Consider the following 15,400-nt stretch of genomic DNA (forward strand, 5'->3'; position numbering starts at 1 on the left):
GGAGTTTTGCTCTTGTTGCCCAGGCTGGAGTGCAATGCTGCAGTTTTGGCTCACTGCAACCTCCACCTCCCAGGTTCAAGCGATTCTCCTGCCTCTGCCTCCCAAATAGCTGGGATTACAGGCACCCGCCACCACGCGTAGATAATTTTTTTGTATTTTTAGTAGAGGTGGGGTTTCACCATGTTGGCCGGGCTGGTCTTGAACTGCTGATCTCAAATGATCCACCCGCCTCAGCCTCCCAAAGTACTGGGAAGTTTGTCTCTCCAGTAAACTGTGTATCACGGTAAAAGTGCTCTCTCCCAGTTCTCATATATTTTTCATCATGTTTACTGCAATATTATAAACCTTTGATAACATAATGGGACCCATACAAAGTGCCACTAGCAATACTGGACATGCTCCCAAGCAGCAGGGAAAAGTCATGACATTATAAGAAAAAGTTGAATTGCTTGATATGTACTGTAGATTGAGGTCTGTAGCTATGGTTGCCTGCCATTTCCAAAGAAATTAATCCCGCATAAGAACTATTGTAAAGAAAAGGAAGTTGGCAAAGTTGTCACTGCAGTGACACCAGGAGGCAAAAAAACAAACAAACAAAAAAACAAAACAAAAAAAACTTGCACTTTTTGTGAAATATCTTTATCTTGCACTGAAAATGCAGCTTTTATGTGGGTACAGGATTGTTATAAGAAAGGCATACCTATAGACTCTAACATGATTTGAGAAAAACTGAAGTCATTATATGTCAAATTTAAGTAAAAAAGAATCTAAGGCTAGATTTAATGCCAGCAAAGGATGATCAAGATAACAGGAGAAGCAGCTTCTGCCAACCAAGAGGCAACAGATGAGTTCCTAGACATCAAGAAAATCATTTAGAAGAAAGGACCAGCCCAGTCAGGTTTTTAATGCAGACAAACGTAACCTATTTGGGATGGGGGGGAAGCCACAAAGGATATTTATTAGCAAGGAAGAGAAGTGAGCACTAGGATTTATGGCAGGAAGAGATAGGCTAACTCTACTGTTTTGTGCAAATGCAGTTGGGTTTATGATCATGACTGCCCTTATCTATTAATATAAAGCTGCTAACCCCTGAGCCTTGAAAGGAAAACACAAACACCAGCTGCAAGTCTGTTGGTTGTACAAGAAGGCCTGGACAAAAAGAATCCTTTTTCTGGATTGGTTCTATTGATACTTTGTCCCTAAAGTCAGGAAGTACCTTATCAGTAAGAGATTAACTTTTAAAGTTCTTTTACAATTGGACAATGCTCCTGACCACCCAGAGCTTCATGAGTTCAACACTGAGGGTGTTGAAGTGGTCTAACTGCCCTCAAACGCAACTTCTCTAATTCAGCCTCTAGAACAGGAGGTCACAAGGACCTTTATGGTTCATTACACATGGCATTCTTAGGAAACAACTGTCAACACTATGGAAGAGAACCCAACAGAACATCGTGAAAGTCTAGAAGGATTATACCACTGAGGATCACTGTTACAGAAAAAGCTGTGGAAACCATCAAGTTTGAAACAATAAATTCCTCCTAGAGAAGACTGTGTTTCTAGGTGTTGTGCATGACTCCACAGGATTTCTGACAGAACTAATCAAGGAAATCATGAGAGACTATAGATATGACAAAAAGGTGAGGGGTGAAGGGTTTCAAGATATGAATCTCAGAGAAATTCAAGAACTAACAGATACCACAAGAACAGAAGGATCAACAGAGGGAAAACAATTTGACGGAGACAAGAACATCCAAACCACTATTAGATGAGGAAGACATAGAAGAAGCAGTACCAGAAAATGAACTGACATTAGACAATCTGGCAGAAGGGTTCTAATGATTCAAGACTGCTTTTAACTTCTTTTATGACATTCACCCTTCTATGATACAGGCACTGAAACTAAAGCAAATGGTGAAAGAAGGGTTTGTACCACATAGAAACATTTTTAGACAAATAAAAAAGCAAAAAGGTCAGAAAGAAATTCCAGTGCATTTCTGTAAATTTACACCAAGTGTGTCTGCCTCTCCTGCTTCCCCTTTCACTTTCTCCAACTCTGCTACCTCAACTGCCCCTGAGATACTAAAATCAACCTCTTCTCTTCCTCCTCCTCAGCATACTCAACATGAAGACAAGAAAGATGAAGATCTTTATGATGATTCGCTTCACCTGATGAACAGTAATATATTTTTTTCTTCCTTATGATTTCTTTTTTTTTCTTTTTTTTTTTTTAGACAGAGTTTCGCTCTTCTTGCCCAGGCTGGAGTGCAATGGTGCGATCTCAGCTCATTGCAACCACTGCCCCTCCTGGGTTCAAGCGATTCTCCTGCCTCAGCCTCTGGAGTAGCCTGGATTACAGGCACACCCCACCATGCCCAGCTAATTTTTGTATTTTTAGTAGAGACTGGGTTTCACCATGTTGGTCAGGCTGGTCTCGAACTCCTGACCTCAGGTGATCCACACACTTCAACCTCCCAAAATGCTGGGATTACAGATGTGAGCCACTGCACCTGGCCTTCCTTATGATTTTCTTAATAACATGTTCTTTTTTTCTAGCTTACCTTACTGTAAGATTACAGTATATAATACATATAACAATCAAAATATGTGTGAATCAACTGTTTATGTTATCAGTAAAGTTTCTGATCAACATAAGCTATTGGTAGTTAAGTTCTGAGGGAGTGAAAAGTTATATGTGGATTTTCGGCTACACAGGGCGTCATCATCCCTAACCCCCATGTTGTTCAAGGGTCAGATGTAGAAACATACCAAAACGAAAAACTATTATCAGTACCTGTCAAAAGATCTGAACTGCACGGGTTGTTCCACAGATAGATCACCAAGGGCTCCAAGGCAGGCTGGTGGCAGAAGGGCAGGATCCACTGTGACTCCATCTGCTGGTATGTTAACCAAGCTTCGGAGAATGTCTTTCACATTGACGTTTTTTGAAACTGAAACTGACGGTGTAGCCTTAGTGTCCAAGTCATTTCCTCTATCATTTTTGGTTTCCGGAGACTTATTGACTTCTAAAGAAAGAGTAGATAGCACCTCGCTGATTGCATCTGGGCCTGCACTGACACCAGGAGGTGCTGTGTGAGGAGTTACTTCCACATGGCTTCCTAAACCAGTGGCTGTTTCTTCCCCAATGCCTGAGTCCCTCCTTCGAGCAGATGATGTGCTTTCAGATTCTTCCACTGATGCCGTAGTTAAAGTGCTGAATGCTGCTGGTGTGATTTCTATATCATACCCAGAAACACAAGAAATAAACAAACAAAAGTTTAGAACTAATTTTTAAAAGGTATATTCTGTTTTAATAGCTATCTACTGTTTTGAATTATGAAATACATCATGTTCTAAAAAAGCAAAAACTAATTACGTATTCTACAGAATGTACTGAGTGGGTGCACCTATTATCAAGACAGATGGTATAATAAAATAAATAATAAAATACTTGCAAAAATGATCTAAAGTAATGGGTAGCAACACAAGGTTGAAAGTCATTGGCCTGTAAGAAAAAGTCTATAATCTTTTTTGGGGGTGTGTGTGTGTGTGTGTGTGTGTGTGTGTGTGTGTGTGTGTCAGTCTGTTGCCCAGGCTGAAGTGCAGTGGTGTGACCTAGGCTCACTGCAGCCTTGACCTCCTGGGCTCAGGCGATCCTCCCACCTAAGCCTCTCAAGTAGCTGAGACTACAGGTATGTGCTACCACGTCTGGCTAATTTTTCTATTTTTTTGTAGAGATGAGGTTTCACCATGTTGCCCAGGCTGGTCTCAAACTCCTGAGCTCAAGCAATCTACCTGCCTCGGCCTCCCAAAGTGCTAGGATTATAGGCATGCACCACCATGCCTGGCCCAAGTCCGCAATCTTTAGGATAAAATAAAAAGCTCTACCTCAAACATGGTTACTGCAGCTGGAAAACTTGTTACCCCTTCTACGTGCATAAATAATTCAATGATCCTTAAAATCCAGTTCAACAAGGAACACCTCCTTTTCTCTCTTTTAATTCTCACTCCCTTTAATCAGGGTTTCAACCCATTCTAGCAAAAATAGTCTTATCAAGGTCACCAAAAAATCTGCATCTTGCTAACTCCAATGGTCAGTGTTCAGTCCTAATAGGACTTCACATAACAGCAACAGCTGATTATTCCCTCCAACTAGACAATGCTTCCTTTCCTCGGCTTTCAGGACACCATTCTCTTTTTGTTTTCCTTGTACTACTTCACTGACTGTTCCTTCTTAACATCCTTCACCTCTTTTTCTCCCTGATTTCTTAAGTTGGAGGGACACAAGGTTCAGTCCTTGTTCCTCTTATGTTCTCTGTCTGCATTTAGTCCCTTCGTGGTATCATTCATTCTCCAAGTTTTAAATACCACTATATTTCCCCACCAAAAAACTCAAACTATTAAATATAACTGCTACCCTACAACTTATCTTACATGTCTAAAAAAACCTCTCAAACTCAACATGCTGAAAACTGAATTTCTTCTCTTTTTATCTTTCCCTGAAAATCTCTTTCACCTTTAATCTACTCCACTGTACCTTGTAATCATTTTTGACTACCTTTTTCATTCACAAAATGCACACCTAATGTTTTAAAATTCTGTTTTTTCTACCACTAAAACATATTCAGAATCTGACTGCCTCTCACCATCTCTAGTTACCAACCTAATCCAACCCACCATAACCTCTTGCCTGGATTACTGATTACTGCAATATCCTCCTTCCTAACTGTTGTGGAAGAGGGTTGTTTTAATAATCCTACTGCCCCATGTCTCCTGGTATGCATCCCTTGACAAGCCCTTGAATCTGGACTAGGCTTGACTGACAATAACCCACAGGATCTGGCAAAAGCAGCAGTGGGCCAGTATTTGGCCCACGTTTTAAGGTCTGGCAGCTCTTGCATTCCCAGAATCTCTGAACATCTCTGTAAGAAGTGTGGCTTATTTCTGATCTACCTTGCTGGAAAGAACATGTAGAGAGACGATATGGAGACAGAGATGCTCTCCAAACTAATGAAGGAAACCAGGAACTCAGTTGAGAACAAGTATCAAGGCTGCAGACACACAACCCCAGCTCAGCTGTTTTAGTCAGTCAGTCTCAGCTCTTGGAGCCATCCCACCTGAGGCACTATATATACTATTAGAAAAGTCATCTTAGATTTTCCAGACCCAGCAAACATCATCTGAAACAGGGATAAACCATGCCCACCGTGCCCTATCCAAATCTAACTCAAGAAATCATGAAGGAAAGATTAAAATGGTTATGGTCTTAGGACACTAAGTGCAGGGTAAGGTATTAAACAGCAGTACCCAGCCAAAAACACTGATTATCCTTGCCCTCTACGCTATATCCTCTACACAGAATACAGAGTTACTTTTTTTTTTTTTTTTTTTTTTGGAAACGGAGTCTCACTCTGTCACCCAGGCTGGAGTTGTTGTGGTGGGATCTCTGCTCACTGCAACCTCTGCCTCCCAAGTTCAAGCGATTCTCCTGCCTCAGCTTCCTAAGTAGCTGGGATTACAGGCACCCACCACCATGCCTGGCTAATTTTTTGTATTTTTAGTAGAGATAGGGTTTTACCATGTTGGCCAGGATGGTCTCCAACTCCTGACCTCAAGTGATCCAGCTGCCTCGGCTTCCCAAAGTGCTGGGATTACTGGCGTGAACTACCAAGCCCAGCCCAGAGGTACTTTTTAAAACATAAATTGTAACTCCTGTACTCAAGACCCTCCAATGAGTTCTCATTTCCCTCAAAGAGAAATCCATACCCAATTACTCCTGGTCATTCCTGATATTTTTACCATCTTTATTACTTTCTTTTTTTTTTTTTTTAGCACTTTCACCACCTTCTAAAATACTACACAATCTACTTATAGCATGTAGATATTTTCTATCTCCTCCCATTAGAATATAAGCTCCATAAGGAAACAGATTTTTTGTTTTGTTTTAGTCATGAATATATACCCAAGTATCCAGTAGATATTGAATGAATATCGAGTGAATAATAAATTGCCTCCTTTGGGTGGTAGCTACTTCTATAATTGCAACAGCTACTTAACTAACTATACTTTTATAACTGGAAGCTACTTTTAATACTCCAATTATTGCAGTTACTTGTTAACAAGTCTGTCTCTTAGAATATGAGTTAGTGATTCTTCACAGCAAATGAAGTCAATAAAATTTTTCAACTCTTTTTGTATAACATTTTCTGACTTACATTTAATTAGTTCATTTAAAGAACAAAAAATATCCCAATTGCAATTAATTACATTATATTTAAGCCACAACTTTTAGTTAATAATAAAAATATATGTATGCTCTCCCTTAATTTGCACAGAAATGGATTTAAATTCCAATATCAATATTTTAACCATCAAAAGTAAGTAACATTTATTTGAACTTTGGTACAAAGGAATAGAAAATGCAAACTTACCAGAGAGTGATACATTCTCATTTTCACTGCCAGTTTCTGTACATGACTGGCTATGCCTTTCATTTTGGGGTTCCAAAATGTCTCTGTACTTGGAGACCATAAGAACAGAGATAAAGTATACTACTGCCAAGGCTAAAAATTGAGCTTGTTTGCTATCCTCCTGGGAAAAAAAATTAAAGGAGTTGATTATGTAACCATAAAATAACATCATTATATTTTACATCACAATGTTTAAATACAAAACATGTTCACAAATCTTTCAATATACACAGAAAATACATTACCTACGTAAATAATAAATTTATTAATAAACTTACTTGAGCAAACATTAGGCAAAGACTCTTAGAAAAATGTCTTTAAATGAGAAGCTTTATACTTGCAAAACATGGAAAGAGAGAAGTTAGCTCATTTTTTTAAATTATTCAATCTAAAGACGTATGTCCTAATATACATTATAATGTTAATCAAACAAACAGTAATTATAATTATATGAAAACAGGTCAGATGCAGTGGCTCACACCTGTAATCCCAGTACTTTGGGGGCCAAACCAGGCGGATCACTTGAGGTCAGGAATTTGAGACCAGCCTGGCCAACATAGTGAAACCCCATCTCTACTAAAAATACAAAAATTAGCCAGGTGTGGTGGCACATGCCTGTAATCCCAGCTACTCAGGAGCCTGAGGTGGGAGAATGGCTTGAACCCAGGAGGCAGAGGTTGCAGTGAGCTGAGATCGCATCACTGCACTCAAGCCTGGGCGACAGAGTGAGTGAGACTCTATCTCAATCAAGCAATCAATCAATAAATAAATAAACAATGATATGAGGATAACTGGTTATTTTTATCTGTAATCATAAAAACTAAAATACATAAAATATCACAATAAAAGTGCCAAAAAATAAACATGCAGAAGAAAAAAACTGAAGCTATTAGATACAGAATAGGATGCCAAAGGAATTCCTTCTTTTTTTTGAGACAGGGCCCCACTCCATTGCTCAGGCTGGAGTACAATGACACAATCATAGCTCACTGTACCCTTGAACTCCCATGCTCAAGAGATCTTCCTGCCTCAGCCTCACAAGTAGCTAGGACTACAAGAATACACCACCACATCCAGCTAATTTTTGTTTTTTAATTTCTTGAAGAGACAGGGTCTTGTTATGTAGCTCAGGCTGGTCTCGAACTCTTGGCCTCGAGCAATCCTCCTGCCTTAGCCTCCCAAAGCACTGGGATTATAGGTGTGAGCTCCCACACCTGACCACAAAGGAATTCTTGAGAGTATTTAAAATAGTACAAACAATTATATATCAAGATTTAAAAAAAAAGGATCTATGAGAAAGAAGACAAACTAGACTGACCTCTTGAAGGGCCTAGGCTCCATTCTAGCTCTACAGGTCACCTATATATCACTGACCTCTTTATCTTGTCAAATTCCCCATCTTCAAGGAGAACCTACACACACCACTATTCTACTAACTTTCCCAAATATGTTTGAACTTGTTAATTTAAAGAAAAAACTCAAATTTATCTATCAAATTCTGAAAACCAAAGGCTCAAGCAGAAGGTAAATTTAAAATAAGAACATGAAGAACACTGTTCCCTATCAGATAAATCCAGGCATACCATGGAGATACCACAGGTTTAGTTCCGGACCACTGCAATAAAGTGGCTATCACAATAAAGTGAGTCACACAAATATTTTAGTTTCCGAGTGTATATAAAAGTTACGTTTACACTATACTGTAATCTATTAATTGTACAACAGCATTGTATCTAAAAAAAACGCACATAATTTAAAAATATTTTATAGCTTAAAAATGCTAACAATTATCTGAACTTTCAGTGAGTCACAATCTTTTTGCTAGTGGAAGGTTGCATCTCCACATTCATGGATGTCGACTGATGGGTGAGGGTGGTAACTGTAGCAATCTCTTAAAATAAGACAAGAAACTTTGCCACATTAACTGAATCTTTCTTTCACAAAAGATTTTTCTGTAGCAAGCAACGCTGTTTCATAGCATTTTACTCACAGGATTGGAGTCATTCCTCTGAAACCCTACAAAGGTTTTATCAAATACATTTAGGTAATATTCTAAATCCTTTGTTATCATTTCAACAATGTTCACAGTATCTTCATCATGAATGGATTCCATTGTAGGAAACCAATTTCTTTGATTATCCATAGGAAGCAACTCTTCATTCGTTGGAGTATTATCATGACATTGTAGGAATTCAATCACATGTTTAGGCTCTGCTTCTCATTCTGATTCTCTTGCTATTTCCACCACATCAGCAGTGACTTCCTCCATGGAAATCATGAACTCCTAAAAGTCATCCATGAGAATTGTAATCAATTTCTTCCAAACTCCTATTAACATTGATATGTTGATTTCTTCCCATGAATCACATGGGTACTTCATGGTATCTACAATAGTGAATCAATTCCAGAAGATTTTCCATTTACTTTGCCCAGATCCATCAAAGGAATTACTATCTATAGCAGCTACAGCCTGATAAAATGTATGTCTTAAATAATAAGAAGTATTTCTTAAATAGTAAGTCAAAATGACTCTTAATCCATGAACTGCAGAATGAATATTTCACTAAAAAGCATGAAAATAACATGAATCTCCTTGTATATCTGATCAGAGCTGTTGGGTGACCAGGTTGATTATCAATGAGCAGTAATAATTTGAAAAGACTCTTTTCTTCTGAACAGCAGGTCTCACTAGTGGCCTTAAAACATTCAGTAAGCCATGTCGTAAGCAGATGCGCTCTTATCTAGGCTTTGTCCTTCCTTTTATAGAGCACAGGCAGAGTAGATTTATAATAATTCTTAAGGGTCCGAGGATTTTCAGAATGATAATTGTGCATTGGCTTTAACTTAAAGTCACCAGCTGTATTAGTCCCTAACAAGAGAATCAGCCTGTCCTTTGTAACACTGAAGCCAGGCATTGACTTCCTGGTAGCTAGGAACATTGTAGGATGGTATCTTCTTCCAATAAAAGGTGTTTTGGCTTTTGTTGCCATTGCTTTTGGTGTTTTAGACATGAAGTCCTTGCCCATGCCTGTGTCCTGAATGGTACTGCCTAGGTTTTCTTCTAGGGTTTTTATGGTTTTAGGTCTTACATTTAAGTCTTTGATCCATCTTGAATTAATGCTTGTATAAGGTGTAAGGAAGGGATCCAGTTTCAGCTTTCTACATATGGCTAGCTAGTTTTCCCAGCACCATTTATTAAATAGGGAATCCTTTCCCCATTTCTTGTTTTTGTCAGGTTTGTCGAAGATCAGATAGTTGTAGATGTGTGGTGTTATTTCTGAGGCCTCTGTTCTGTTCCGTTGGTCTATATCTCTGTTTTCATACCAGTACCATGCTGTTTTGGTTACTGTAGCCTTATAGTATAGCTTGAAGTCAGGTAGTGTGATGCCTCCAGCTTTGTTCTTTTGGCTTAAGATTACATTGGAAATGCAGGCTCTTTTTTGGTTCCATATGAACTTTAAAGTAGTTTTATCCAATTCTGTGAAGAAAGTCATTGGTAGCCTGATGGGGATGGCAATGAATCTATAAATTACCTTGGGCAGTATGGCCATTTTCATGATATTGATTCTTCCTATCCATGAGCATGGAATGTTTTTCCATTTGTTTGTGTCCTCTTTTATTTCGCTGAGCAGTGATTTGTAGTTCTCCTTGAAGAGGTCCTTCACATCTCTTGTAAGTTGGATTCCTAGGTATTTTATTTTTTTTGAAGCAATTGTGAATGGGAGTTCACTCATGATTTGGCTGTTTGTCTGTTATTGGTGTATAGGAATGTTTGTGATTTTTGCACATTGATTTTGTATCCTGAGACTTTGCTGAAGTTGCTTATCAGCTTAAGGAGATTTTGGGCTGAGATGATGGGGTTTTCTAAATATACAATCATGTCATCTGCAAACAGGGACAATTTGACTTCCTCTTTTCCTAATTGAATACCCTTTCTTTCTTTCTCCTGACGGATTGCCCTGGCCAGAACTTCCAACACTATGTTGAATAAGAGTGGTGAGAGAGGGCATCGCTTTCTTGTGCCAGTTTTCAAAGGGAATGCTTCCAGTTTTGCCCATTCAGTATGATATTGGCTGTGAGTTTGTCATAAATAGCTCTTATTATTTTGAGATACGTCCCATCAATACCTAATTTATACAGAGTTTTTAGCATGAAGCGCTGTTGAATTTTGTCAATGGCCTTTTCTGCATCTATTGAGACAATCACGTAGTTTTTGTCGTTGGTTCTGTTTATATGCTGGATTACGTTTATTGATTTCCATATGTTGAACCAGCCTTGCATCCCAGGGATGAAGCCCACTTGATCATGGTGGATAAGCTTTTTGATGTGCTGCTGGATTCGGTTTGCCAGTATTTTAGTGAGGATTTTTGCATCGATGTTCATCAGGGATATTGGTCTAAAATTCTCTTTTTTTGTTGTGTCTCTGCCAGGCTTTGGTAACAGGATGATGCTGGCCTCATAAAATGAGTTAGGGAGGATTCCCTCTTTTTCTATTGATTGGAATAGTTTCAGAAGGAATGGTACCAGCTCCTCCTTGCACCTCGGGTGGAATTCAGCTGTGAATCCATCTGGTCCTGGACTTTTTTTGGTTGTTAGGCTATTAATTATTGCCTCAATTTCAGAGCCTGCTATTGGTCTCTTCAGGGATTCAACTTCTTCCTGGTTTAGTCTTGGGAGGGTGTCCAGGAATTTATCCATTTCTTCTAGATTTTCTAATTTATTTGCATAGAGGTGTTTATAGTATTCTCTGATGGTAATTTGTATTTCTGTGGGATTGGTGGTGATATCCCCTTTATCATTTTATATTGAGTCATTCGATTCTTCTCTCTTTTCTTCTTTATTAGTCTTGCTAGTGGCCTATCAATTTTGTTGATCTTTCCAAAAAACCAGCTCCTGGATTCATTGATTTTTTGAAGGGTTTTTTGTGTCTCTATCTCCTTCAGTTCTACTCTGATCTTAGTTATTTCTTGCCTTCTGCTAGCTTTTGAATCTGTTTGCTCTTGCTTCTCTAATTATTTTAATTGTGATGTTAGGGTGTCAATTTTAGATCTTTCCTGCTTTCTCTTGTGGGCATTTAGTGCTATAAATTTCCCTCTACACACTGCTTTAAATGTGTCCCAGAGATTCTGGTATGTTGTGTCTTTGTTCTCATTGGTTTCAAAGAACATCTTTATTTCTGCCTTCATTTTGTTATGTACCCAGTAGTCATTCAGGAGCAGGTTGCTCAGTTTCCATGTAGTTGAGTGGTTTTGAGTGAGTTTCTTAATCCTGAGTTCTAGTTTGATTGCACTGTGGTCGGAGAGATGGTTTGTTATAATTTCTGTTCTTTTACATTTGCTGAGGAGTGCTTTACTTCCAACTATGTGGTCAATTTTGGAATAAGTGCGACGTGGTGCTGAGAAGAATGATTATTCTGTTGATTTGGGGTGGAGAGTTCTGTAGATGTCTATTAGGTCCACTTGGTGCAGAGCTGAGTTCAATTCCTGGGTATCCTTGTTAACCTTCTGTCTCGTTGATCTGTCTAATGTTGACGGTGGGGTGTGAAAGTCTCCCATTATTATTGTGTGGGAGTCTAAGTCTCTTTCTAGGTCTCTAAGGACTTGCTTTATGAACCTGGGTACTCCTGTATTGGGTGCATATATATTTAGGATAGTTAGCTCTTCTTGTTGAATTGATCCCTTTACCATTATGTAATGGCCTTGTCTCTTTTGATCTTTGTTGGTTTAAAGTCTGTTTTATCAGAGACTAGGATTGCAACCCCTGCCTTTTTTTGTTTTCCATTTGCTTGGTAGATCTTCCTCCATCTCTTTATTTTCAGCCTATGTGTGTCTCTGCATGTGAGATGGGTCTCCTGAATACAGCACACTGATGGGTCTTGACTCTTTACCCAATTTGCCAGTCTGTGTCTTTTAATTGGAGCATTTAGCCCATTTACATTTAAAGTTAATATTGTTATGTGTGAATTTGATCCTGTCATTATGATGTTAGCTGGTTATTTTGCTCATTAGTTGATGCAGTTTCTTCCTAGCATCGATGGTCTTTACAATTTGGCATGTTTTTGCAGTGGCTGGTACTGGTTGTTCCTTTCCATGTTTAGTGCTTCCTTCAGGAGCTCTTGTAGGGCAGGCCTGGTGGTGACAAATCTCTCAGCATTTACTTGTCTGTAAAGGATTTTATTTCTCCTTCACTTATGAAGCTTAGTTTGGCTGGATATGAAATTCTGGGTTGAAAATTCGTTTCTTTAAGAATGTTGAATATTGGCCCCCACTCTCTTCTGGCTTGTAGAGTTTCTGCCAAGAGATCCGCTCTTAGTCTGATGAGCTTCCCTTTGTGGGTAACCCGATCTTTCTCTCTGGCTGCCCTTAACATTTTTTCCTTCATTTCAACTTTGGTGAATTTCACAATTATGTGTCTTGGAGTTGCTCTTCTCGAGGAGTATGTTTGTGATGTTCTCTGTATTTCCTTAATTTGAATGTTGGCCTGCCTTGCTAGGTTGGGCAAGTCCTCCTGGATAATATACTGCAGAGTGTTTTCCAGCTTGGTACCACTCTCCCCATCACTTTCAGGTACACCAATCAGACGTAGATTTGGTCTTTTCACATAGTCCCATATTTCTTGGAGGCTTCGTTCATTTCTCTTTACTCTTTTTTCTCTAAACTTCTCTTCTCACTTCATTTCATTCATTTGATCTTCAATCACTGACACCCTTTCTTCCAGTTGATCAAATTGGCTACTGAAGCTTGTGCATTTGTCACGTAGTACTTGTGCCATGGTTTTCAGCTCCATCAGGTCCTTTAAGGACTTCTCTACACTGGTTATTCTAGTTTGCCATTCGTCTAATCTTTTTTCAAGGTTTTCATAGCTTCTTTTGGATGGGTTCAAACTTCCTCCTTTAGCTCAGAGAAGTCTGACCATCTGAAGCTTTCTTCTCTCAACTCGTCAAAGTCATTCTCTGTACAGCTTTGTTCCATTGCTGGCAAGGAGTGGCGTTCCTTTGGAGGGGGAGAGGTGCTCTGATTTTTTGAATTTTCAAATGGGATCTATTTAAACTGAAGAGCTTCTGTACAGCAAAAGAAACTATCATCAGAGTGAACAGGCAACCTACAGAATGGGAGAAAATTTTTGCTATCTACTCATCTGACAAAGGGCTAATATCCAGAATCTACAAATAACTCAAACAAATTTACAAGAAAAAAACAACCCCATCAAAAAGTGGGCGAAGGAGATGAACAGACAATTCTCAAAAGAAGATATTTATGCAGCCAACAGACACATGAAAAAATGCTCATCATCACTGGCCATCAGAGAAATGCAAATCAAGACCACAATGAGATACCATCTCACACCGGTTTGAATGGCGATCATTAAAAAGTCAGGAAACAACAGGTGCTGGAGAGGATGTGGAGAAAAAGGAACACTTTTACAGTGTTGGTGGGACTGTAAACTAGTTCAACCATTGTGAAGACAGTGTGGCGATTCCTCAGGGATCTAGAACTACAAATACCATTTGGCCCAGCCATCCCATTACTGGGTATATACTCAAAGGATTATAAATCATGCTGCTATAAAGACACATGCACACGTATGTTCACTGCAGGACTATTCACAATAGCAAAGACTTGGAACCAATCCAAATGTCCATCAATGATAGACTGGATTAAGAAAATGTGGCACATATACACCATGGAATACTATGCAGCCATAAAAAAGGATGAGTTTATATCCTTTGTAGGGACATGGATGAAGCTGGAAACCATCATTCTCAGCAAACTATTGCAAGGACAAAAAACCAAACACTGCATCTTCTCACTCATAGGTGGGAATTGAACAATGAGAACACTTGGACACAGGAAGGGGAACATCACACACCAGGGCCTGTCATGGGGCGGGGTTAGGGGAGAGGGATAGCATTAGAAGATATACCTAATGTAAATGACAAGTTAATGGGTGCAGCACACCAACATGGCACATGGATACATATGTAACAAACCTGCACGTTGTGCACATGTACCCTAGAACTTAAAGTATTAAAAAAAAAAAAAGGTGTTTTGTCCACATTGAAAATCTGTTGCCTAGTGTAGACACCTTCATCAATTTCTTAGCTAGCTCTTCTGCACCTATTGCTTCACCTTGTACTTTTCTGTTATGGAGACAGCTTCTTTTCTTAAATTTTATGAACCAACCTCTGGTAGCTTCACTTTTCTTCTGCAGCTTCCTCACTTCTCTCGGCCTTTACAGAATTGAAGAGCGTTGGAGCCTTATCTGAAATAGGCTTTGGCCTAAGTGTGCCTGGTTGGATCTTTTATACAGACCACTAAAACTTTCTTCAAATCAACAGTATAAAGCCGTTTTACTTCTTATCAGTCATTTGCTCACTGGAGTAATCGTTTACTTTTAATTTCCTTTAAGAACTTTGCATTTGCCTTCACAACTTGGCTAAATGTTTGGCACAAGAAGCCCAGCTTTTGGCCTGTATCAGCTTTTGATATATCATCTTCACTAAGCTTAATCATTTCTAGCTTTTTATTTAAAGTGAGAGACATGCAACTTTTCCTTTCTCTTGAACCCTTAGAGGCCACTGTAGGGCTGTAATTGGTCTCATTTCAATATTGTTGTGTTTCAGGAAATAGAGAGACAGGGTAAAGGCCCCTCCCAAGGAGATGGGGAGAGACAGGAATGGCCAGTTTGTAGCACAGTCAGACATTTATTAAGTTCACTGTCTTAAATGGGTGTGGTTTGTGGTGCCCCAAGACAATTACAATAGTAATACCAAAGATCACTGATGACAGATCAGCATGACAGATAAATAATAATAATGAAAAGGTTTGAAATATTGTAAGAATTACCAATATATGACATAAAGACATAAAGTACATGCTGTTGGATAAATGGCATGGATAGACTAGTTCAACACAGAGTTGCCAAAAACCATC

At 39.0% G+C, this 15,400-nt stretch overlaps 1 protein-coding gene across 9 annotated transcripts in view; it reads right to left on the bottom strand.

The window, feature by feature from the left end:
- LRBA (LPS responsive beige-like anchor protein) overlaps nt 1-15,400 on the bottom strand; it is a 751,293-nt gene that overhangs the window by 560,954 nt on the left and 174,939 nt on the right. For all 9 annotated transcript variants that reach the window (XM_047416462.1, NM_001367550.1, NM_006726.5 and 6 more), the window contains exons 29-30: nt 6,429-6,588; nt 2,792-3,233 (exon numbers count right to left, since the gene is read on the bottom strand). In XM_047416462.1, the coding sequence (XP_047272418.1) occupies nt 2,792-3,233; nt 6,429-6,588 (602 nt within the window). The remainder of the gene's footprint in view (nt 1-2,791; nt 3,234-6,428; nt 6,589-15,400) is intronic.

Source organism: Homo sapiens, chromosome 4, assembly GCF_000001405.40.
Source record: "Homo sapiens chromosome 4, GRCh38.p14 Primary Assembly".
NCBI classification, from domain to species: Eukaryota; Metazoa; Chordata; class Mammalia; order Primates; family Hominidae; genus Homo; species Homo sapiens.